At 60.5% G+C, this 21,364-nt stretch overlaps 3 protein-coding genes and 1 pseudogene across 30 annotated transcripts in view, besides 13 other annotated features; 2 read left to right on the top strand and 2 right to left on the bottom strand.

The window, feature by feature from the left end:
• LRCH4 (leucine rich repeats and calponin homology domain containing 4) lies at window positions 121-12,239 on the top strand. 23 transcript variants are annotated; one of them, XM_047420384.1, is made up of 18 exons: window positions 121-369; window positions 3,791-3,935; window positions 4,083-4,209; window positions 4,368-4,473; window positions 7,464-7,600; window positions 7,785-7,851; window positions 7,934-8,091; window positions 8,338-8,428; window positions 8,510-8,586; window positions 8,692-8,753; window positions 8,861-8,977; window positions 9,096-9,164; window positions 9,245-9,348; window positions 9,473-9,556; window positions 9,927-10,012; window positions 10,242-10,379; window positions 10,468-10,545; window positions 10,946-12,239. In XM_047420384.1, exons 1-18 carry the CDS (start codon window positions 150-152, stop codon window positions 11,141-11,143), a joined length of 2,064 nt encoding a protein of 687 aa, XP_047276340.1. In that variant the 5' UTR covers window positions 121-149; the 3' UTR covers window positions 11,144-12,239. The 23 variants fall into 23 exon arrangements, 22 of the variants coding, with proteins under 22 accessions (XP_047276340.1, NP_001276863.1, NP_002310.2 ...); NM_001289934.2 differs by having other exon boundaries at window positions 7,739-7,851; window positions 7,992-8,091; window positions 11,894-12,239; NM_002319.5 differs by having other exon boundaries at window positions 7,739-7,851; window positions 7,992-8,091.
• Window positions 124-553: a silencer, noted in NCBI's record as "silent region_18446". NCBI's record gives its function as "represses an Ori minimal core promoter by ATAC-STARR-seq in GM12878 lymphoblastoid cells {active_cell/tissue: GM12878}" and the evidence as "EXISTENCE:reporter gene assay evidence [ECO:0000049][PMID:35858748]".
• Window positions 594-643: a silencer, noted in NCBI's record as "silent region_18445". NCBI's record gives its function as "represses an Ori minimal core promoter by ATAC-STARR-seq in GM12878 lymphoblastoid cells {active_cell/tissue: GM12878}" and the evidence as "EXISTENCE:reporter gene assay evidence [ECO:0000049][PMID:35858748]".
• Window positions 785-1,298: an enhancer, noted in NCBI's record as "H3K27ac-H3K4me1 hESC enhancer chr7:100182575-100183088 (GRCh37/hg19 assembly coordinates)". NCBI's record gives its function as "activates a minimal SCP1, AML or CMV promoter by ChIP-STARR-seq in primed H9 embryonic stem cells {active_cell/tissue: H9 hESC(primed)}" and the evidence as "EXISTENCE:reporter gene assay evidence [ECO:0000049][PMID:30033119]".
• Window positions 1,299-1,812: an enhancer, noted in NCBI's record as "H3K27ac-H3K4me1 hESC enhancer chr7:100182061-100182574 (GRCh37/hg19 assembly coordinates)". NCBI's record gives its function as "activates a minimal SCP1, AML or CMV promoter by ChIP-STARR-seq in primed H9 embryonic stem cells {active_cell/tissue: H9 hESC(primed)}" and the evidence as "EXISTENCE:reporter gene assay evidence [ECO:0000049][PMID:30033119]".
• Window positions 1,958-2,646: an enhancer, noted in NCBI's record as "H3K27ac-H3K4me1 hESC enhancer chr7:100181227-100181915 (GRCh37/hg19 assembly coordinates)". NCBI's record gives its function as "activates a minimal SCP1, AML or CMV promoter by ChIP-STARR-seq in primed H9 embryonic stem cells {active_cell/tissue: H9 hESC(primed)}" and the evidence as "EXISTENCE:reporter gene assay evidence [ECO:0000049][PMID:30033119]".
• Window positions 2,078-2,237: an enhancer, noted in NCBI's record as "active region_26374". NCBI's record gives its function as "activates an Ori minimal core promoter by ATAC-STARR-seq in GM12878 lymphoblastoid cells {active_cell/tissue: GM12878}" and the evidence as "EXISTENCE:reporter gene assay evidence [ECO:0000049][PMID:35858748]".
• Window positions 2,210-2,504: an enhancer, noted in NCBI's record as "tiled region #8670; HepG2 Activating non-DNase unmatched - State 16:ElonW, and K562 Activating non-DNase unmatched - State 2:TssF". NCBI's record gives its function as "activates a minimal TATA promoter and a strong SV40 promoter by Sharpr-MPRA in HepG2 and K562 cells {active_cell/tissue: HepG2 | K562}" and the evidence as "EXISTENCE:reporter gene assay evidence [ECO:0000049][PMID:27701403]".
• Window positions 10,378-10,931: an enhancer, noted in NCBI's record as "H3K27ac-H3K4me1 hESC enhancer chr7:100172942-100173495 (GRCh37/hg19 assembly coordinates)". NCBI's record gives its function as "activates a minimal SCP1, AML or CMV promoter by ChIP-STARR-seq in naive H9 embryonic stem cells {active_cell/tissue: H9 hESC(naive)}" and the evidence as "EXISTENCE:reporter gene assay evidence [ECO:0000049][PMID:30033119]".
• Window positions 10,932-11,486: an enhancer, noted in NCBI's record as "H3K27ac-H3K4me1 hESC enhancer chr7:100172387-100172941 (GRCh37/hg19 assembly coordinates)". NCBI's record gives its function as "activates a minimal SCP1, AML or CMV promoter by ChIP-STARR-seq in naive H9 embryonic stem cells {active_cell/tissue: H9 hESC(naive)}" and the evidence as "EXISTENCE:reporter gene assay evidence [ECO:0000049][PMID:30033119]".
• A 110-nt stretch (window positions 12,240-12,349) lies between the features above and the next one.
• On the top strand, window positions 12,350-14,022 carry SAP25 (Sin3A associated protein 25). Of its 3 annotated transcripts, none has more exons than NM_001168682.3 (6): window positions 12,350-12,653; window positions 12,871-12,953; window positions 13,038-13,144; window positions 13,237-13,390; window positions 13,499-13,596; window positions 13,679-14,022. In NM_001168682.3, the coding sequence occupies exons 1-6, from the start codon at window positions 12,508-12,510 to the stop codon at window positions 13,961-13,963; spliced, it is 873 nt and encodes a 290-aa protein (NP_001162153.2). In that variant the 5' UTR covers window positions 12,350-12,507; the 3' UTR covers window positions 13,964-14,022. The 3 variants fall into 3 exon arrangements, with proteins under 3 accessions (NP_001162153.2, NP_001335609.1, NP_001335606.1); NM_001348680.2 differs by having other exon boundaries at window positions 12,850-12,953; NM_001348677.2 differs by having other exon boundaries at window positions 12,350-12,953.
• Window positions 14,418-15,088: an enhancer, noted in NCBI's record as "H3K4me1 hESC enhancer chr7:100168785-100169455 (GRCh37/hg19 assembly coordinates)". NCBI's record gives its function as "activates a minimal SCP1, AML or CMV promoter by ChIP-STARR-seq in primed H9 embryonic stem cells {active_cell/tissue: H9 hESC(primed)}" and the evidence as "EXISTENCE:reporter gene assay evidence [ECO:0000049][PMID:30033119]".
• Window positions 14,849-16,057, bottom strand: IRS3P (insulin receptor substrate 3, pseudogene; annotated as a pseudogene).
• Window positions 15,972-16,171: a silencer, noted in NCBI's record as "silent region_18444". NCBI's record gives its function as "represses an Ori minimal core promoter by ATAC-STARR-seq in GM12878 lymphoblastoid cells {active_cell/tissue: GM12878}" and the evidence as "EXISTENCE:reporter gene assay evidence [ECO:0000049][PMID:35858748]".
• Window positions 16,431-17,102: an enhancer, noted in NCBI's record as "H3K4me1 hESC enhancer chr7:100166771-100167442 (GRCh37/hg19 assembly coordinates)". NCBI's record gives its function as "activates a minimal SCP1, AML or CMV promoter by ChIP-STARR-seq in primed H9 embryonic stem cells {active_cell/tissue: H9 hESC(primed)}" and the evidence as "EXISTENCE:reporter gene assay evidence [ECO:0000049][PMID:30033119]".
• The window catches only part of AGFG2 (ArfGAP with FG repeats 2), a 29,018-nt gene continuing 25,683 nt past the window's right edge, over window positions 18,030-21,364 (bottom strand). For all 4 annotated transcript variants that reach the window (XM_005250306.3, NM_006076.5, XM_047420307.1 and 1 more), the window contains one exon: window positions 18,030-21,318. In XM_005250306.3, the coding sequence (XP_005250363.1) occupies window positions 21,259-21,318 (60 nt within the window). In that variant the 3' untranslated portion in view covers window positions 18,030-21,258. The remainder of the gene's footprint in view (window positions 21,319-21,364) is intronic.
• Window positions 18,520-18,679: an enhancer, noted in NCBI's record as "active region_26373". NCBI's record gives its function as "activates an Ori minimal core promoter by ATAC-STARR-seq in GM12878 lymphoblastoid cells {active_cell/tissue: GM12878}" and the evidence as "EXISTENCE:reporter gene assay evidence [ECO:0000049][PMID:35858748]".

Genomic DNA, 21,364 nt, shown 5'->3' with positions numbered 1-21,364 from the left:
TCTGACGCGTCTCGGGGCCACGATTGGTCCGTCCGGTCCCGGACACCGCTCCCTCCCCCTTGAGGCAACTACGGCGGCTCCAAGGAGGGGGTGGGGGAAGGAGGGACGGCCGGTCCCGTCAGTCAGGCAGCGGGAGCCGCCGGGAGCGGATGGCGGCGGCCGTAGCGGCTCCACTCGCCGCCGGGGGTGAGGAGGCGGCAGCCACGACCTCCGTGCCCGGGTCTCCAGGTCTGCCGGGGAGACGCAGTGCAGAGCGGGCCCTAGAGGAGGCCGTGGCCACCGGGACCCTGAACCTGTCTAACCGGCGCTTGAAGCACTTCCCCCGGGGCGCGGCCCGTAGCTACGACCTGTCAGACATCACCCAGGCTGGTGAGTGCAGCCGGGCCCCGGGCCCAACCGGGTCCCTCATTTGCATAGCCCCACCCCGGGCCCCGCCCGGCCCGGGAGTCGGGCCCGCCCCTTCACCTGGCGGCCAGGGTTGCTGCCCCTCCTGATTGCCCTAAACCTGCAGCCATCCTCTCCCATCTTTGAGAACCCCCTAGACAATGAACGTGCTTCTCGTTTGCACAGAACGCCCTGCGCCTCCGAGCGTTGGGAGAGATTCCTCCTTTCTCTTTATTTGCATATCTGCGCACCTGTAGGATGGTCCCGCCCCTCACCTGGTTGGCTTATTTACATGATCTCTTAACCTCAGCTCCAATCGGTCTATGAAGCAGTCCCCACGAGCTCCTCTAATAACTGCTTTCTCTCCCTCTTCATCTACACCTCTTAACCCCCGTCCCACCGAGATCCGAGCAGCCCCGGGCACCCCCTTCCCAGTGACTGGCCCCTAAGCCCGAGGTTTCTGCTTTCTGTGCCGCAACCCCGCCCCCTAAGGTCCTGGCCCTCTCCACTGTCCACGCAGCTCTCCAGCCTATGGGAAAGAAACAAATCTCTACCTCCCCTCACTCTTTTCTCCCTGAGCTCTTCCGCCTATTATCCCCAACCGGCTTATCTGAGATTCCTCCTCCTCCTTCCTAAGCCTGTGAGGTCACTGTGGAGCCTGTGACCTCATAGGGATCTTAGAATTCCCATTTCAGTTTCTGCTTTCCCCCGGGGGAGGGACTTGAGGCCGTTGCTGGAGGGAAGGAAATCTTATCTCCTAGCTGGGAGTGCTGGCCAGCTAGAGACTGTCCTTCCACGCCTCCACCCGCAGGATCTGTCCAACCATGCACCCTCCACCCTGGTGTCTGTGGATGGTAGGGGGTGGGGGACTTAACTGTGACAGGTGAGTCAAGCCTCAGCTACTCAGGAGGCAGCCTATGACCTTGGGCCGGCAGCTGGGGGTGGGGATCAGGATCAGGGAGGAGGACTGCATTCCCGAAGCCTCACCCCAGCCCAGGCCTCTTCCTCCTCTCATCTGCACGGTGGGGGACCAGAGCTGGAGGATAGTGCTTACTTCTCCCTAAGCAGGTGCCTGCTCACCTGGGAACACTCAGGCCGGCACTGGCACACATCCTCTTCCCTCTTCTGGGGAGAACCAGTCGAAACCTCCCCACTGATCTCGCCTGCTCTGCAACACTTGAGATGGGGAATGAGTGAGCTCCAGGAGCCATTCCTGCCCCTTACAGCCCTGTTCCCTCCCACCCCCACCTAACCCCACACTCCAGATTGACCTCAGCAGCTGTGTGACACTCACTGTCTGTTCCCTTCCCCTCCCCCTTGGTTGTTTTTTGACAAAGACCAAATGTTATTCTTTACTTCCTTAGGCTGTCTCTCCCTGTGTGGACTCTTGGGGAAAACTACCCGGAGCTCCCCGGCCCCTCCCAGCTCCCGCCCCCGGCCCCCTCCTCCCCCAGCATTCCGGCTCAGGGTGCAGCCGTGCTCCTGTGAGCTTGGGGGGGGGTCGGAAATCCCAGCTTCCCAAGAACCCTCCTCTGCCCCACTCTCTACACAGGGCCCAGGTTCTAGGCCAAGTGGGGTCCCTCTTGTCCAGAATTCTCTCCTCTGTCCCCTCTCCGCAAGCAGGGACAGAAAGGGGAAGTGACAAAAACATACAGTTGCCCATACCCTGCCCTCCATCTCTCCTCGCCCTCCAAGCAGACGAAAAGCATCAGTGCCTTGCTGCCCGGACTGCCTTGAGCCTTCCCCTCCCGTCTCCCATCTCTTTCTGAGTGTCTTCGCTGCGTGTCGCCTAGTCTTGGGTCCCTGATCTCCCTTGGACTAGGCTCCCTGGGGTGATAGTAGGAAGAATCCTGAGGTGGCGGGGAGGGGCCATCTTGCAAAGGAGAAGTGCAGCTCATTCTCTCCCAGACCACATCCTGTGCCCCCAGTGCCCTGCCTCCTGCCTGAGCTCCCTTCCGCTCCTAGCTTTTGTCCCCGCCACCGCCTACCCCATCAGAACTCTGAGAACTCGGTCTCCACCCCCTTCGTCCACATGCACACACACAAACACATTTGCAGAGAAAGCGGGCAGGTGGAGGCGAGGCTGGGAGGGGCAAATGCCATCCCCCCACCCTCTCCAGAACGGTCATCTCTGAGGCCAGGGCTTCTGTCTGTGCACCAGGGCTGGGCAGAGAGGAAGAGAAAGGGGTCCCGGGGCATCAGGCTGTCATCCACCCTGGTAAACACGGGGCCTACCAGAGCCAGAACCTGACAGATTGTTTCTACTTCATTTCCTGTCACAAGACTCATTTCCTTGGGGGATATACCCGGCTTCTCTCCTCTGCTTGCTTTTGCTGGCCTGCCCTTCCCTGAGAAGGGCCCTTGGAGAAGCTCACCAGGTCTGTGGCCTGGGACTCCGCCTCGCGGGCCCTGGGCCCCTCCCAGGACAGGCTGGGCCGAGGAAACAGAAAGGCAGGCTTCTCCAGGTCTAAGCCGTTAGTGGGTCCGTGCTACAGGGAATCCCAAGGCTGCCAGCCTCCGCATAGCAAGGCAGTGCTCCAGATAAGAGGGCGATTGTAGACCCCAGGCCCTCCCACACTCTCCACCCTCGCCGTGCCTGAGATGCTCACACAGTTGCTGATCTCTTGAAGTCTGTGTCAGTAAGAGAGGAAGCAGAGCCGGGCTGCTAGGGCTAGCAGAGGGTAGGAAGGATGCCTGCCCTGGGCCAGAGAAGCCCAGATGGGAGGGACCTGGGAACTCCAGCTCCCATCTCCAACCAGGTCTTCTTGCCCTTCCCTCCCAGCCCTTGGGAATCAGTAACTTTATGATTCTTTGGACCTGGCTTGCTGGTCCTTGGGGCTGGCGAAAAACTCGTCCGGTGTCGGGGACTTTATCTCTAGAACCAAGATAGAGTGACCTGTGGTTTTTCCCGTGTTGAAAACACACTGGAGTAGGGAAGAAGGGCCCCGAGGAGGGATGGGCACTCCCTGTGGTTTGCCCCAGGGGTTTCCCATCTTCCCTCCGGGAGCCCCCCAGCCCCTCGCCTTACTGTTTTCCCATGAGCACTGACCCCTCCTCTCACCTTCGGTCCTCCGCCTCACCTGGCATCTCTGAACAGGAACCACAGGAGTTAGAGATTCCAGCTGCTCTCCAGGATAGCCCTCCATTGACATTCCCCAACCCCCAAGTCTGAGGCTTCTCTAGCCCAGTGACGCTAAGGCCTTTGCCTTCCCTGTGCCATTCTGGTCACGCCTGGAATGTGCTCCCGTTGGCAGAAGGCTTTGTTATCTCTCCTGGGAGGCCACATTGATGGCCTTGAATCTTTAGGTGTGGAGGTGAGGGAGTGGGCAGCCGGCTCTGGGGGGACTGAAGGTCCTGTCCGGGCTGGGCCTTTCCGCAACTCTCCCCGACACCTCCTTTTCCCCAGACCTGTCCCGGAACCGGTTTCCCGAGGTGCCCGAGGCGGCGTGCCAGCTGGTGTCCCTGGAGGGCCTGAGCCTCTACCACAATTGCCTGAGATGCCTGAACCCAGCCTTGGGGAATCTCACAGCCCTCACCTACCTCAACCTCAGGTAGGGAGGCCGAGCCAGGGCCACGTGGGAGCGTGTGCTTCTCAGTCTCAAGTACTACTGAGTGACCCACCCAGTGACCCCGAGAGGATGGCAGTGCTGGGATGCCATGCCTGGGGAGCCAGTCCGCTGCCTTTCTCCCTTCCACAGCCGAAACCAGCTGTCGCTGCTGCCACCCTACATCTGCCAGCTGCCCCTGAGGGTCCTCATCGTCAGCAACAACAAGCTGGGAGCCCTGCCCCCTGACATCGGCACCCTGGGAAGCCTGCGACAGCTTGTGAGGATGGGGACGGGACCAGGAAAGGGACCCCTGAGCCAGGCAGCGGGACCTTCTAGGGGGAGGTTGGGGAGGGCCTGGAGCAAAGACAGAGATGGGAGGGTGGGTTCTGCTGGGCCTGGTCTCATGGCCCCTTCCCACTGCCTTCCTGATACCAGGACGTGAGCAGCAACGAGCTCCAATCCCTGCCCTCGGAACTGTGTGGCCTCTCTTCCCTGCGGGACCTCAATGTCCGGAGGAACCAGCTCAGTACGCTGCCCGAAGGTGAGAAGAATGAAGAACTGGAGAGGAGGTGTTTGTATGTGCGTCCCAGTTGGCTCAGGCTGCGGTAACGAAAACACTGCAGACCGGGTAGCTTATACATGGCAGGCATTCATTTTTCACAGTTCTGGAAGCTGAAGTTCAGGATCTGGGTGCTTCCATGGTCAGCTTCTGGCAGGGTGCTTTTCCTGGCTGCAGACTGCCGGCTCCTTGTGGTACTCTCCGATGGCGGAGAGCAGAGACAGCCCTCTGGGGCCTCTTTGATAAAGGAGCACAAATCTCACTGATGAGGGCTCCACCCTCATGATCTCAATTACTTCCCTAAGGCCTCGCTTCCTAATCCCATCACTTTGGGGGTTAGGATTTCAGCAGAGGACTTTTTGGGTGACACATTTCAGTCCATAACAGTGTATGTGCTTTGAAGAAGTTACAGGCCAGGAATCTTCAGAGGAGAATTACACCTTCATTGTCCAGGCTTTTGCAGTATATAAAACAAACTGTAAACGATCTGATTTGATCTTGACCTAGCAACCCTCTGATGCTGGCAGGGCGCAGATGAGCAGCTGTGTTAGAAACGTGGACACAGGCACAGAAGGGGAGCTGGTGGGTGCATCAGCTCTAGGTAGACTGGCAAGGTCAGAAGGGGCCTTCAAGGTCACCCAGCAGCCCTGCTCACCCCAGCAGGGGCTCTCAAACACCTGAGTCGGGATGCTCCGCCACTCCTCCCGGAGATGCCAGGGCCAGTGCCAGAGCCCAGGTGGCCCATCTAATGTGCTTGTTGTGATGCACTGATAGCCTCTGCCCCAAAGCAGGCATGCCTTTTGTTCAGCAGGCAGCAGCATGTGTGTGTGTCTGTGTGTGTTATGTCTTGTGTCTGCGTGCATGTGTGTGTCTGTGTGTATGTATGTGTTTGTGTATGTGTGTGTTGTGTCTGTGCATGTGTCTGTGTGTCTGTGCATGTGTGTCTATGTGCATGTGTATGTGTGTCTGTGTCTGTTCGTGTGTTGTGTTTATGTCTGTGTTATTTATGTCGTGTGTGTGCGTGTGTATGTTTGTGTGTCTGTGTTTGTGTGTGTGTTGTGTTTATGTCTGTGTTATGTCGTGTGTGTCTGTGCATGTGTATGTGTGTTTGTGTCTGTGTGTGTCTTTGTGTGTGTGTTTGTGTTTATGTCTGTTGTGTGTGTTTAGGTCTGTGTTGTGTGTGTTGTATGTGTTGTGTGTGTTTGGGTGTGTGTTGTGTGGGTTGTGTGTATGTGTTGTGTATGTTTATGTGTGTGTTGTGCATGTTGTTTGTGTCTGTGTGTATGTATGTTGTTTGCGTGTGTGTGGGTTTTGTGTGTGTGTGTGTGTGTGTGTGTGTGTGTGTGTGTGTGTGATGTGTGTATGATTCCTGTGTTGGGATCAGGTAGATGCGGGTGATGTGACTAAGATCTGGGGCCATCTCTTAGGGATTTAATGGCTTCTTGAGGAGAGACAGTCATAGGGAAGTTCCGTCAGGGGGTTCCCCAGACGGGGGCTAGAGGGAGGTGGCACTGGACTCTGCGTGGGGGTCCTGGGGAAGACTTCACCGGAGGCGCAGGCGCAGTGGGAGCCGAACATTGAAGGAGAATTCCCCAGCCTTCTGCATCCAGGCAGAGGACCCAGCATGTGCAAAGCATGGGGTTAGGAAGGTGAGCCAGGCATGGCAGGAAGGCCTGTGCCATGCTCAAGTGTGAACTTGGTTTTGAAGAACAAGGAGGGAGTGAGGTGGTCATCCACTTTCCCTGTCTCCCTACTCCCTGACCCTTTCTGCACCTGCCCTCTTCCTTCCCAGTCAAAAGGGGTAGGAAGGGCTCTCTCTGGGCCATAAAAAGAAATCCAAGCAAGATGTCCTGGGGACAGAGGCAAGAGCAATGAGTTCCATCCAATCTGGGATGTCTGGAACGATCCACCGAGGAGGTGGTGATGCTTGAGCTGAACCTTGAAAGATGCATGGATGGGGAAAATGGAGTTCTCCCAGCTGAGCAAACAGCACCTGGGAAGGCTCAGAAGCTGAGGGCCCGGAGGGGTGGGCAGTGAGGTGGGAAACGCGGGTGGAGCCAGGTTGTGGAAGCCTTCCTCATGCTGGGTTAGGGAGCTGTGGGTTTTATTCTGTGCTTAGGGCCGCCATGAATCCAGACTGTGCCTTTTTTTTTTTTTTTTTTGAGACAGAGTCTCGCTCTGTCACCCAGGCTGGAGTGCAGTGGCGCAATCTCGGCTCACTGCAAGCTCCGCCTCCCAGGTTCACGCCATTCTCCTGCCTCAGCCTCCCAAGTAGCTGGGACCACAGGCGTCCGCCACCACACCCGGCTAATTTTTTGTATTTTTAGTAAAGACAGGTTTTCACCATGTTAGCCAGGGTGGTCTCAATCTCTTGACCTTGTGATCCACCCGCCTTGGCCTCCCAAATTGCTGGGATTACAGGCGTGAGCCACCGTGCCGGTCCCAGACTGTGCCTTTTTAAGATGAGCAAAAGGCACCTTTCCCTGTGGGCAGGCAGCATTTCATGCAGGGTGCAGTGCTGGGCCCGTGCTGGGGAAAGGGGACTCCCGGGCGGCCACAATCCGCTCAACATCTGCAGCCCTGGTTGCATGTCACAGGAGGTGTTTGAACAGGGTTTGTGCCTTGTGCTGATCATTTGAAAATGGAGGGTGGGTTCGAGTGTGGAGTGGGCAGGCGAGGAGATGAGGAGGACAGACAGGGCTGGGCGGGACCTGACGTCCGGATGGGCCTTCCCGGGGAAGCTGAGCTGACGTCCAGATGGGCCCTCTCAGGGAGGCTCGCTTAGACCGTGGACCAGAATCATGTGGAGAGAGGAGCAGGGAGGTTTCTCCCGGGGAATGACTTGAGCCACCCAGGGGAGAGGCTGTGCTGGGCCCAGGGTGACTGGCCAGCTGGAGCCAAGGGTGAGGGAGTGAGCACGAGGCCACAGCCCTGAGCATGTTCCTGACTTTTCCCTTGCCCACCTGTTCCAGAGCTGGGGGACCTCCCTCTGGTCCGCCTGGATTTCTCCTGTAACCGCGTCTCCCGAATCCCAGTCTCCTTCTGCCGCCTGAGGCACCTGCAGGTCATTCTGCTGGACAGCAACCCTCTGCAGAGTCCACCTGCCCAGGTGAGGCGGGTGCCTGGGGGGCCACGAGGACAGGGGTGTGGCTAGGCAGGAGTGGGGTTGGTCCCCTTGGATAGCTGAGCAGGATCCGGGGAGCTGCCCTCCCTGCCAACTCCCTGGCGTGTGCTGCCCCGCACACAGGTCTGCCTGAAGGGGAAACTTCACATCTTCAAGTATTTGTCCACAGAGGCCGGGCAGCGTGGGTCGGCCCTGGGGGACCTGGCCCCTTCTCGGCCCCCGAGTTTCAGTCCCTGGTAAGTCCTAGGTGGGGAGGAAGGAAGCCCTGGGATACTGAATGCCCCTTCCCGGCCCCAGGCACCCCCTGCTTTCTGGCAGGAGGATGGGGGGCTGTTGTCCAGCATCAGGCTGACCAGATCCGCCTGGCTGGCCCCAGCCCTGCAGAGGATCTATTTCCGGGACATCGGTACGATGGTGGGCTGGACTCAGGCTTCCACAGCGTTGATAGTGGCAGCAAGAGGTGGTCTGGAAATGAGGTAAGGGCGTCCTGTCCATGGGTGATTGAGGGTGTCAGCCCTGGGAGAGCACCTCTGAACTGGGGACCTCCAAATTGCAGGGTGCCAGGCAGAGGCTGGAGCTGTCCTCTTCCTTCCCTCTGCCCAGCATCCCAGGGAAGGGCTGGCTCAGCAGAGACCCTGAGCTTAGTCCCACACAGGACCCCCCAGGTCCTGAGCCCCCATGTACAGAGAGGCCATCTCCCATCTCTGCCTCTGCCTTTACAGTCAACAGATGAATTTTCAGAGCTGTCATTCCGGATCTCAGAGCTGGCCCGGGAGCCCCGGGGACCCAGAGAACGCAAGGAGGATGGCTCAGGTGAGTAGCAGGGCTGGCCGGGAGCTGGGCTGGACCAGGGCCTGGGTCCCCGCTCACTTGCTGACATGCTGGCCTCCCCAGCGGACGGAGACCCTGTGCAGATTGACTTCATCGACAGCCATGTCCCCGGGGAGGATGAAGAGCGAGGCACTGTGGAGGTGAGAGCCCAGCTATGCCTCTCCCAAGGGAGGGGAGCTGGAGGAGGGGACAGGGCAGGCGTGGGCACAGGCCTGCCCTCAGCTGCTCTGCTGTTCTCTCCTTAGGAGCAGCGACCACCCGAATTAAGCCCTGGGGCAGGGGACAGGGAGAGGGCACCAAGCAGCAGGTACCCCAAGCCCCCAAACTGACGCCACTGCCCGATCCTCCCACCCCCCAACCGCCTCCTTCCCTGACCCCGGGGTCTGCCCCTCTTGCCCTGTCTTGGTCCCTCAGGCGGGAGGAGCCGGCAGGGGAGGAGCGGCGGCGCCCGGACACCTTGCAGCTGTGGCAGGAGCGGGAACGGCGGCAGCAGCAGCAGAGCGGGGCGTGGGGGGCCCCGAGGAAGGATAGGTGGGACCCAGGGCCGCCCGGGGCTGTTGCTGGACACTGAGCCCTGGAAATGGGGCCACCGAGCCCCGCTGAGCCGTTCTGCCTTGGGGCTAGCTGACCCCACCTCTCCTTGTTCCAGCCTCTTGAAGCCAGGGCTCAGGGCTGTTGTGGGAGGGGCCGCCGCCGTGTCCACTCAAGCCATGCACAAGTAGGTTTCCTGCCAGCATCCCCTCCCCACTCCTCTTCCTATGACCATCATCCCTCTAATTCCCTTCTGTCTCTCCTCAGCGGCTCGCCTAAGTCCAGTGCCTCCCAAGCAGGGGCTGCAGCGGGGCAGGGAGCCCCCGCCCCTGCCCCTGCCTCCCAAGAGCCCCTTCCCATAGCTGGACCAGGTGGGACAGGGATTTTGGGAGGAGGATGGGGCCTGTGTTGGTGAGGGCTGGTTGGGAGAGAGGGACACAGAGGGGATGCCTGTCTCACCTGCCCCTGTCGCTGTGTCCCTGGTTCCGGCCCCAGCGACAGCACCTGCTCCACGGCCACTTGGCTCCATTCAGAGACCAAACAGCTTCCTCTTCCGTTCCTCCTCTCAGAGTGGCTCAGGTGGGTGTCCTGCCCTCCCCAGTGCTGACCCAGTGCTTGCCAGCACCAACGGCTACATCACCCTTCTGCCCTGGGAGCCCTCTGGGTCTGTTGTACCTTTTGTACCTTTGCGTTGAAAATCCCACAAGCAAGCCGGGTGTGGTGGCTCACACCTGTAATCGCAGCACTTTAGGAGGCCCAGGTGGGAGGATCGCTTGAGCCCAGGAATTCAAGACCAGCCTGGGCAACATAGCGAGACCCCATCTCCATGAAATAAAAAAAAATCCCACAAGCAGAGAGGCAGGAGGTGTAGGTGCCAGGCCACTGGGACCCAGCTACAGAGTCAGTGGTGAGCAGTGGAGGCAGCCCCATGCCCCCCTTTTTCTCCTAGGCCCTTCCTCACCAGACTCTGTCCTGAGACCTCGGCGGTACCCCCAGGTTCCAGATGAGAAGGACTTAATGACTCAGCTGCGCCAGGTGAGCAGAGGCGGGAGCTGCGTGGGCAGGGGCCTGGGCCGGGCACCTCCTTGTGTTGCTGTCCTTGGGACCAGCCTCCCTCCACATCCTCTGTGCCCACTCTGGCACCTCCCCTGAGGACAGGAAGGGACAGGCACAAGTTCCCTGCTAGCCCTGAGCCCCCCACTCTCCCTGCCTCCCAGACGCCTCTCCTTCCCTGACCCCTGCTCTATGTGGTCTACACTGCCAGGTCCTTGAGTCCCGGCTGCAGCGGCCCCTGCCTGAGGACCTGGCCGAGGCTCTGGCCAGTGGGGTCATCCTGTGCCAGCTGGCCAACCAGCTACGGCCGCGCTCCGTGCCCTTCATCCATGTGCCCTCCCCTGCTGTGGTCAGTTGGGGCTGGGGAAGAGGTGGGGGATGGGCCGGGGCGCCTGTGGCCTCTCCCTTACCACATTTTCTTCTTTCACCCACCCCAGCCAAAACTCAGTGCCCTCAAGGCTCGGAAGAATGTGGAGAGTTTTCTAGAAGCCTGTCGAAAAATGGGGGTGCCTGAGGTATGGGGGCTGCTTTCTAAAGAGTGGTGGCATGCCGGACTCAGCCGAGCATGTGGCATGGATGGTGGGCTTCCATTTGCAGCGGATGTCTGCTCTCAGATGAAGGCACAGGCTGCCCCTGCCCTGCCCAGCATGCCCCCTGCCCTGCATGCCCCCTGCCCTGCATGTCACCTGTCCTACACATCCCCTGCCCTGCAGGCCCCATCTTGTCCTGCATGTCACCTGTCCTGCACATGCCCTGCCCTGCACTCCTCCTGCACTGCACTCCCCCTGCCCAGCACGTCAGCATGTGGGCGTGGTTCTGGCCCCAGCACGTGAGGGCAGGGGTGGGAGGGACTGTCCTGCTGCTGCTGCTGACGTCTGTCCCTTGTCCTTGTCCACCTGCTCTCCTCTCCCCCAGGCTGACCTGTGCTCGCCCTCGGATCTCCTCCAGGGCACTGCCCGGGGGCTGCGGACCGCGCTGGAGGCCGTGAAGCGGGTGGGGGGCAAGGCCCTACCGCCCCTCTGGCCCCCCTCTGGTCTGGGCGGCTTCGTCGTCTTCTACGTGGTCCTCATGCTGCTGCTCTATGTCACCTACACTCGGCTCCTGGGTTCCTAGGCCCCAAAATCGGCCCTCCCTCACCCCTTTCCCTTCCTCTCTATTTATAAGGTCCCTGCTCCACCCGACCCCACCTGCGGTGCCTTCAGCCCCAACCAAAGACACTAGTGCACCCCCTTCACAGACACTGACCTCAGAGGCCCCACTCTGGTGCCCCCAGACCCTGGGCCCCCAGCCTCTGGCCTCCCTCCAGTAGCCCCACGAGTCCCCACCTCTCAGTGCTGACGGTGCCTTCATGTCCCCGCCGGCCCTGCCCCTGCCCTCTGTACCCCGTGAGGGGTGGCAGGAGCTGGAGTCTCCCCCTTCCTCCTGTGCCCTCCCCTTCCCCCCCCAACAGCTGCTATGGGGGGGCTAAATTATCTCTATTTTGTAGAGAGGATCTATATTTGTAGGGGTTCGGGGCCCAGGCCGGGTCCCTATCTCTGTGTATAAACTGTACAGACCGTGGCCGCCCTGCCTGTGTGTGTGTGTGTGCGCGCGCGCGCGCGTCTGCTCCGCGTGTTGGTGGCTGTGGCCATGGCTCTGTGCCCACCAGCATCTCCCTCCTGAGATGCCGGCCTCTCATGCTCCCGGAGCGTCCGCCAACCCCCCGTGTCACCTCCCTTCTGTTATCGCTGACAGCTTTCTTGCGTCTCATTTGTCGCCGAGCCCCGAGCGCACGGTGATGCTCGGGTCTGCCCCCGACCCCCTGCCACAGGCCGGAAGCCGCAGGGGGCACCGTGGGGAAGCTAACCCGGCCCCTTCCCCCAGGAGTCACTGTGCCAGCCCCACCACATCCTGGAAGAGGAGGGGGCCCCGGGAAGGGGCCTCCCCTACATCGCTGCTGTCGTCCACGCCCTGCTGGACCGGCCTTAGGGGTGAAGGTGGGGGCACAGGGCCCACCCCGCCCGGGACCCCGGGAGCAGAAGACGCGCCTGGGCTCCGCGCTCTCAGAGAAGCACGTGGTGAGGGTGGCCTGGGCCTGGGCACCCTTGGCCTGCCGGCCTGGCTGCCTCTGGGGTCGAGGGTCTGGGTGGAAGGACCGCGGGTGTCGCAGGTGTCGTGTCAGCCGCAATAAACAGAAGCCAGAAGCCCTCTGGGTGGCCCTCAGGTGTAACTGTGTCTGAGAGCACGTGCGTCGCGGGGTTGTTGGGGGGGCCTCTGTTTCCGGAATTCACCGCCCAGTCGCCAGGGGGCGCCCGCGGGAGCCCGGCGGGGGCACGCGCCACGTGGCCGGGAGACGCACAGGGCGCCAGCGTCGCCGCGAGGCCTCTGGGGTGGGTTCGCCAGGAGGGCACGTTCGCGCCGCGCCGCGGAGGGAGGCTGAGAGGGCCGGGCCGGGCGGCGGGGACACGGCGGTACCGTCCTGCGCTCGGGAACGCGGAATGTTGCCCTGGTCGCCGCCGCGGTGGGGCGCGGGCCCGGAGGAGGCGCCCGAGGGACCAGGCCTTCCGGCGGGCAAGGACCAGGGCGAGCCCTGGAGCGCCGGAGCGGACGCCCCCAGGGAGCTGGGGACACCCCCATGGGACAGGTGAGGGGCTCGGACGGAGCCGTGGGGGGACAGCGACTGGGGGCCTCCATGCCTTCACCACGCGCTCTACGGAGGCTTCTCCATTGTCCCTGCTGGAGATTGGGTCCCTCGGTCTCCCTTGCACCAGGCACCCTTGGGCTCCAGGGGAGGGTGCGTGGGGGCGGTGTGGCTGCAGCCTCAGTCCCTGCCCCTCCAGCCCACAGCCCCCATCCCGTAGCCCTTCCTGGATCTGGAGAGAGCAGCTGCTGCTGCCCCACCACCTGCCAGGCCCGGCCACTGAGCAGCCCCCCGGAGCCCCAGGTAGGACAGGCCCTGCTGCCTCTACTACCCCTAAGAGCCTCTCACTGACTGTGAGCCTGTTATAATCCCCAAGCGTCCCCCCAGATCCCCGTTCCCCCCAGGTGGCCTGGGAGGTGGCCCCCTCGAGGATGACTCCACTAGCGCCCTGGGACCCCAAGTATGAAGCCAAAGCAGGACCTCGGCCGGTGTGGGTGAGTTGGGGGCAAACCTGTGGGACTGGCTGGGGTGCTCAGGGAGCTGTGCGGTGGCCTGAGGCTCCAGTGCTCTGTCCTCCTCACCCTAGGGGGCCAACTGTAGCTCAGGAGCCTCGTTCTCAGGCCGGACGCTGTGTCACCCCTCATTCTGGCCGCTGTATGAAGCAGCCTCGGGCAGGGGTCTCAGGCCCGTGGCCCCTGCCACAGGGCACTGGAATGGACAGCAGGCGCCCCCAGATGCAGGTACCTCCCTTGGTCCCCCGGGGGCGCAAGGCTGCCCCAACTCCTCTGGGAACCAGTGCCCAGGGGTGGGAGCCCGCAGCCCGCCACCCTAGTGGTGTTTCCTCCTAGGGTTCCCGGTGGTGTGCTGTGAAGATGTCTTCCTCTCGGACCCTCTGCTGCCCCGGGGGCAGCGTGTTCCCCTGTACCTGTCCAAGGCCCCCCAGCAGGTGAGAGCTCTTTCCCCTCCCTGTCCTTACCCCAGCCTCCAGGCTTGCCTGGCAGGAAACACATTCCATTCTCTCTCCTCAGATGATGGGCTCCCTGAAACTGCTGCCGCCGCCCCCCATCATGTCTGCCAGGGTGCTCCCCCGCCCATCACCCTCCCGGGGCCCCTCCACTGCCTGGCTCAGCGGGCCGGAGCTGATCGCTCTCACTGGCCTGCTGCAGATGAGCCAGGGGGAGCCTAGGCCCAGCTCCTCCGCGGTTGGCCCCCCAGACCATACCTCTGACCCACCCAGCCCCTGTGGTAGCCCCAGCAGTTCTCAGGGTGCTGACCTCTCTCTCCCACAGACCCCAGACACCCATTGTCCATAGCCTTCTCAGGGCAGAGTGGGCTGGTTGTGTTGACAATAAAACAGTGTTGGTTTGCAAAACAGGCTCCGTGTGGCTGGGAGCAGAGTAAGTCATAGAGGCAGGAATGGGGTCTCTTTCTGTCTCACTGCAGATCACCCCCTGCTGTGTTAGGCGGAGGGCGAGGGTATCCATGACCTAAGGCATTTCTGGGCTGACTGGGCAGAGCCCCTTTAATGAGTGGGTGGGTGGTCTGCATGGCAGTGCAGGGCTGAATGTATAGGAAGCAGGCGGGGGAGTAAGTAGGGGCACCTCACTTTTAGGGGACACTAGCCCCACACCTCTTGTGCTGGGGCTCCAGGAGTTCAGTTCTGGGCTGGGTGGGGTAGTTGTCTGGCTCAGAGGAGACACAAAGAATGCACTGCAGGTGTGTGGGGGAGGGTGCCGGTCCATGTAAATGTCACCACTGGCAGAAAGGTGGCCCTGCCGCAGCCTACCTGAGACTCTAGAGATTCTTGCACGAACTCTGTAGAGAAACAGGATCAGGGTTTCAGCTGAGAAAGCCCAGAAGTGTGTAGTCTCGGTGGTTTGGGCGGGGATAGGTTCTAGAATTTTCTCCCATAAAATAGCCCAACTTCTTGGAGAACCTTCTACTCAAGACTTAGGTGCCACAGCTGGAAGGGACACAGGGGGCAGGACCCCAGCTTGTTGCCCTGCAGGTCACTTGTCCGAGGTGGCATCTGGGCCTTAAAGCCCCTCACACGGTGGGGAGTTAGGAGGCAGGGCGGGGGCGTTACAATGCCATTCCCTCCAGTCCCTCCCTCAACCACCCCCCCATCAGTCAGCAGGAGAGAGCTGCCTGGGTCTCAGGTCTCCTCACCGCATAGCTATGTGGGCGGAGCGTGTGGGCCCTGGGGACGTCACCAAGTGCCCCCAGAGAAAGGACCAGGTCCAGATCGACGTAGCTGAGGCAGCTCGTCAGGGGCTCTGGCCTGGCGGTGCCGGTTCCGAGGCTCTCTGGGGCCGATAACTTGGTGCACACTTCACTCCCTAGCCAGCTCTGAGGGGGGCAGGAGCAGCGCTGAGTCCCTACCCATCCCCAGCCAGCCCCCACATCGCGATGGGCACTCCTGGGCCTGTGTCCAGGCTCCTGAACCCAGACTTGTAGGAATGGGCTCATAGTCACTCCCTGCTCCCTTGGTTATGTAGCCCCCACCCAGCCCCTTAGGGTAGAAGGCTGCTGTCCCCAGCCTCGCCAAGGTCTTAAGGGCTGCTTGCTCGATCCCCTCTCCCAGACACCCTGGACGGCTCAGGCCACTTGACTGGTCCGCAGAAGCTGGGGTCTCAGGGATGGGGAACAGGGAGTCTGAAGGTGCTCATAGGAGGGTCCCTGAGCACCTGGGCCTCGTCATTGTGCCTGGAGAACTCTTTTTTTTTTTTTTTTTTTTTTTTTTTTTTTTTTTTTTTGAGACAGAGTCTAGCTCTGTTACCTAGGAGTGCAGTGGTTGATCTTGGCTCACTGCAACCTCCGCTTCCCCGGTTCAAGCGATTCTCCTGCCTCAGTCTCCTGAGTAGCTGGGATTACAGGCATGTGCCACCACGCCCGGCTAATTTTTGTATTTTTAGTAGAGATGGGGTTTCACCATGTTGGCCAGGCTGGTCTCGAACTCCTGACCTCAGGTGATACGCCCGCGTTGGCCTCCCAAACTAATGGGATTATAGGCGTGAGCCACCGGGCCGGGCCTGTGCCCGGAGAACTCTAAACCTGCCCCTTTAATGTTTGAACTTTCGGCGACCTGGGGGAGGGGCGAGCCACGGAGAAACCACAGCCAGAAGCCCCCGAGGCCCCCGGAAGCCCGGGGCTCGGGCCTCACCGGCATCACCGCGCTCCTCGAGCAGGGTGTTGTATCACGCCTGCTGCTCCGCCTCGCCTGCCGCCGCCACGCGCAGGCTGCTGTCGCGGGTGTAGAGGACGATCAGGTGGTGCTGGCGCGCATCTGCGCACTTGCTGGTGGTGCACGCACCCGCCAGGCTCAGGCTGCGCTGGAGCCGCGCTCGGCACGCGCGAAACTTCTGCTCGCTCTCGGAACACTCGGGACGCGGCGGGTCTGCGCGCAGGTGGCCGCAGAACCGCACGTCGGCAGGGCAGGCCCAGGGCAGCGGCTGGCTGAGGGGCACGGCGGCCATTCCCGGCTCTCCCCGGGGCCGCCGCCTGCGGGCTTCATTCAGGGGCGAAGGCAATAAAGTGGCTGCAGAAGAGGCAGAGACGGCTGGGTCTCGTGTCTTGAGCACGGGGAGAGGCCAGCAGGGGTGGGGGTGAGGTGGCGAACTCGGCGGGCCGGGAGCAGCGGCCGGGCAGGCTGCCACCCGTCTTGATGCCCAGCGTCTCTCCCGGGCTCCCGACTGGAAGTTTGGGGCAAGGACTCTGCGCACAGCGAGTGTCCCGGTGACTGTTGCCCCTGGCCTGGGCTCCCCACTACCTCCCTCCCTCCGCCGACCGCTCCGGAACCCCCACCCCACGAGACTAATCCTCACGTCGCCCAGGAACTGGAGTTTGAGTAGGGAAGTCCAAGAGAGGCGGCCTCGACCCCAAGACTGAGCCTTTATAGGGGCAGAGAGCGTGGGGGCGTCTCTACCGATCAGCTGACTGCGGTCCGGACACGTCGTCGGGGCAACCGAGAAAGCCTCGGTGTGAGGCCAGTGATCGGACTTGTGGCAGCGGTGGTGGCGCTGGCGATTAGAGGGCTTTGGAACGGGGCCTCCATGCACCCTGCTGGCTCCTGCCACGCCCCGCTCGGCCTGTAGGTGTCCTTCCTGTGTGTACCCCCTTCCCATCCAGGAGTGGTTTTGTGCCCTTCCAAGTAACCAAAGGAGCCACCGCCACTGAGCACTGCGCTGGATTATTTCTGAGCTGGAGATTGAGTTTCTTGAAAGTTTGGGGTGATAGGAGGTGACTTGGGCTAAGTAAGCTCAGGGGGTAGTCCCTGTGCACAGACCATACCCGCTGGAACCCAGTCAAGTGGCCACTGAAGGAGACCTCGGAGGAAGAGGCCATCTCTCAGGAAGACCCCTTCGGGCTGCCCCATTGCTCTGGGCCCCTCCTTGCCACCACTGCCCAAAAATACTACCCCGGGACCACCTGAAGGCTCTGACCATGGACGTGTGGACTTCCTCATGGAGGTACCCTTTGCTTCTTGAAAAAATTGCGATTGGGCTGGGGACTGGACATTTTTGCACTCAGTTCTGATCCAAGGACCACTGACCCCCTCCAAGGGGATGGGGGTGAAGGTGCACCAGACAAACCAGCAGGTGACACCTGGTGGGACCTTAGAGGACCCTGAGATATCACCCAAGGCAAGTAAGGTGCCTAAAGGGGAAAGCCGAGGGTCAGGGAGGAGAGGCCAACATGCAGCCCCCATAAAGATGGCATTCAGGGAGGAGCTCCCTCAGGGAAGGAACAAGATATGACAAAGACAGAACAAGAGAACAGATGCAAGGACCCAAACCTAGCCCAAGGGCCAGGGCAGCCTGAGCAGGGTGGGCAGGGCTTCCCGCCACACTTCCTGCTTCCTGGGGAAGGGGCCCCACGTGAGTGGGAATATGGGAGGCAAGTGCTGTGTGCATGGAGCTGGGGTCCTCACACACCTATTCCAAGGTCACATTGAGAGGGAGATGCAGGGAACCAACCAGCACCCAGCCAGCAGGCAGGTGGGACCCAGGGCCTGCTCCAGGTGACCTCTGGTAAGCCAAAGCCCCACTGGGGTGCAGGAGAGGCTCGAAGCACAGGTGGTGTGGTGTGGGGCGGGGGGGCCGTGGGGCGGGGCTCGGCAACTGCCCAGTGTTGGGTGTTGGCCACAGAGGCAATGGCTCCGTAAGTGGCCAACAAAACCGGACTGTGTTCAAGGCCATAGCCCCACGTGGCCAAGGGCCTTGATACAGGCACCATGTGCAAAGGGGCAGGGACACAAAGGACATGTGCACACCCCTCCCCCTCCCAGTCCTGCTGCTGCCTCAAAGAGGCCACCAAAGGGCCCCTGTCCCTGCTGCACTCCGGGCCCAGGAGTCTTTTTTACTCCCTGAGGCTTGAAGATACCTGAGGAAGATCTCTTTATTCCTTCCCCTTCCCACTCCCCATCAACCAGGTCCCCCTGCAGCACCCTTCCTTGTGAAATCACAGCTGCTATGACAGTGACCAGCTCCAAACCACCCTGTGTCACTGAACCTTGGGTGCTGGGTGACACATGGGCAGGAAAGGCAGGAAGAGCAGGGATCTGAGGGCCTGGGGGCTGGGCAAGCCTCAGGGGTGGGGTGGGTGCTGATCAATGCCAGGTGATCAATGCCAGGTGATTGGACCCACTGAGTACCAGGACAAACCTGGAGTCACGCAACTGGCCTACATCAGTTGCCTTGGCAACACACTGCCCTTGACCCTACCCGGAAAAGATTTATTTCAGCCGGTAGCCCTGGTAACTTGAGTGGCTCCCCAGGGACAGGAAGTGGCAGAACCTCAACTCTGCCTCTCCTGACCTGAGGGGTTCACTTTTCATCCCTGTCAGGGACGGGGCACTGCGTTCTCAGCCCCTATGGAAGAATGTTATGGGTTTGGGGGAATCCACGGGGAGGAGACTAGGCTGTTCCAGCGTGCCCCTCCTTCCTCAGCCTGAGGCCTTGCTCCTCTGTGGAAGGCAACACAGGGACAGAGCCACACATTCAGCCCCTACCCTCAGCCCTGCTCCCATCCCCTGGCCCACAGGTCTGACCCGCAAGCTCCGATGTGGAGACACTTGGTGGCTGACTCCTGCTTCCTCACACATGGGGATGGCCCACAGGTGACCGACTGGCTGAATGCTGGGGCCATGCTAGAGGACTGCTGTCTGCAGAGCATGGTCCCTGCATTGGCCAGAAGTTGGTGTGAGCCCAGGTGAGTCACTCTAGCCCCGTGGTGTGTGTGGTGGGTTTGAATCTGCAGCTACCAGGCAATGTTTTCTCCATTTCCTCTCAAGCCAGGCCTTTCTCCATTCTTTGCTACTCTCCAGGAGAGGCGGCTCACTGGAGGGCTGGAGCCTGAGCTGCTGGAGCTGTCCCCGGCCAAGGAGAGCAGCTCCTAGTGTCAGCCTGTGCCCAGGGAACCCTGGGGCCCGAGGCTGACCTGGCGTTAACTTCTTACTGCTCATCCAGCTCTCACCAGCCAGCAGGCTGGAGTCCTTGTGGGCTGGAGGGGAGGGAGTCTGCAGGGAGGACCCGGGCCTGGACCCAGATAGTGAGGAGATGCCGGGAGACAGCACAGGGTGACAGAAGCAGGAGAAAGCCCTTCGGTTTAGCCTCAGTTCCAAACCTCGGCGCTCCTGGCATTAAGGGAAGGGTGATGGAAGCTGGGGGGAAATAACAGAAAGGCTCCTCCCCCTAATACACCATAACAGATTCCAGCTTCCCTCCCTCCGGCTCTAAGCAGAAAGGAAAGAACTGGTAAGAGAATTAGGTAGAGGGACACAGAGATAATCTAGGGTGGCGAAGAGGGGAGAAAGAGAAGAGATGGAACATGCAAAGGCCAGGAGCGAAGCGGGAGACCACCCAGGAGACAGAAGGAGGGCAGAGGCTGGGAGAAGAACAGGAACAGACAGGATGGGGTCCTGATTGTTGGAAAAGACAGGGAGGCCAATCCCAGCCTTGCAAATAGCAGCAGCTAGAGGTTATTTCCAGAAAAATCTGCAAAGTAAATACACTGATCACCCAACTCCCATATCTCTTTGCTGCTCTCTGTGGAAGACTCAGACAAACCCCAAGAATGAATGGCCACGGGGCCAGGGCAATGGTGGAAAGGGAGGGGCCTCACCTGGCCTTGGGCCAAACAGCAAGGTGGCCTCTGCCCAGCCAGGTGAGGTGTTTGCCACCCACCCCCTGACCAGGTCTGTCTTGTCACCACACAAATAGCCCAGACACCACAGCTGGATGTTGTCACAACATCCCCAGGTGGAAAGAGCCTGGGGCAGAGAATGTTCCAGACCCAGGAGGGGTCTACTTCCAGCACCACATTGGCACCAACCTCCTTTGCCCACCCTGGCCCCAGTGGGCATTCCCCTCACATCCAACAAACTCCAGTCCCCGGCAGTGGTGGCTCCTCTCCCGCCACGCTTCTTCTCATTGCTAATGCGGGACTCTTGTTCAGACAGGGACGGGCTCTGCCCTGTCTCTGGCCAATGGCAGCATTATCACTGGCCCAGGCAGTCCAGCCCAGCAGAGCCAGGTCAAGGATCAGTCATGTTGACTGACCTGCAACCCCTCAAAGTGGCCTGAAGCAAAACCACAGGCGCCGTTTTCTCTTTCGTTCAAATGCAGTTCTTTTCCAACATTGCCTGCAATGAGCTTTGGTGCAGAGATTTGGGGACAGGGAGGCACATGGAGAAAAAAAAAAAAAAAAAAAGACCAGGCAATTGCACAAAGCCTTTCCCTGGAAAACCCAGGCTCTGGGGATGGTGGGGGTCAGGACACATGGCTGCCCCCCCTCCAGCCCTGGAGCTCCGGCTTTGATGGTCGAGGCACAGATGGGGATTCATCCCATTCCCCACATACGAGAGCAGTCTGGGAGCGGGAGATCGGCTGGGTGTGTGTATATATGTATGTATGTGCATATAGATAGATCTATTTATATATAATAGGCTATATTAGAAAATCCTCTCTATGTATAAATATAAAACACTGGTATCCAAACATGACACCAACAGCTAACTAAAGTGCTTGACAGGAGCCGGGCCCGGGTAAGCTCGATGGTAAACCGCTCATCCTGGGCGCTGGGGAAGCAAAACAATGGGGGACCCCTTCAGCAGGGGGTGCTGCAGGAGGAAAGTGTGTGCTGGCCAAGCTGGGCCACCAAGAGCACTTGGGCCACCTGGGCCTTCTGGGTCTCAGGACTGTCTGGTCACTGCCCCATCAACACTGTGCCTCATCTTTCCCCTACCTTCCCCACTGCGCTCCCGTCCATGAGGAGCACAGCGCTGGCGAGCTAGGCCCAGGGAAGAGCTGTTCCACAGGGGACTGATCATTTGAAAAAAATCCCTCCCCCTCAACCATCACTCCTCCAGGTCAGGCCCTGCCCGCACTCCTCCTGGGCTTCCTGCCTGGGTGGGGGTGGGACGAGGGAGGGGAGAGAGGCTTTGTGGAATCTGAGGGCAGCCACCTTTCACCTGTAGGCCCCAAGCAAAGCATTAGCACCTCCACCATCCCCAAGGCCCATAGAAATGCCCACAGGCAAGTGGTCACCAGAGCTCTAGGGAGCAGAGGGGCCCCAGAAGGCAGGGAAGAGGCCCCCCAAAAACACAGTGCTACAAGAAGGGGTTGGTGGTTGGAGGTTTGGAGGCGAATGGGCTTGATGAGGGTCCAGTCTGGAAAGAAAGAACAATACATTTTCCAGTTAGGGGAGAGGAACTG

The sequence above is a fragment of the Homo sapiens genome, chromosome 7 (genome assembly GCF_000001405.40).
Source record: "Homo sapiens chromosome 7, GRCh38.p14 Primary Assembly".
NCBI classification, from domain to species: Eukaryota; Metazoa; Chordata; class Mammalia; order Primates; family Hominidae; genus Homo; species Homo sapiens.
This window is presented reverse-complemented; position numbering and strand designations above follow the sequence as displayed.

Bases quoted from the DNA above. Each gene is read 5' to 3' on its own strand.
- LRCH4 (XM_047420378.1), top strand. From the start codon at position 150: ATGGCGGCGGCCGTAGCGGCTCCACTCGCCGCCGGGGGTGAGGAGGCG. The intron at 4,210-4,367 runs GTGAGGATGGGG...TCCTGATACCAG, and splicing joins TGGGAAGCCTGCGACAGCTT to GACGTGAGCAGCAACGAGCT. The intron at 8,754-8,860 runs GTACCCCAAGCC...TTGGTCCCTCAG, and splicing joins GAGAGGGCACCAAGCAGCAG to GCGGGAGGAGCCGGCAGGGG.
- SAP25 (NM_001348680.2), top strand. From the start codon at position 12,508: ATGTTGCCCTGGTCGCCGCCGCGGTGGGGCGCGGGCCCGGAGGAGGCG. The intron at 12,654-12,849 runs GTGAGGGGCTCG...CTGCCCCTCCAG, and splicing joins GGGACACCCCCATGGGACAG to CCCACAGCCCCCATCCCGTA. The intron at 12,954-13,037 runs GTAGGACAGGCC...GCGTCCCCCCAG, and splicing joins GCAGCCCCCCGGAGCCCCAG to ATCCCCGTTCCCCCCAGGTG.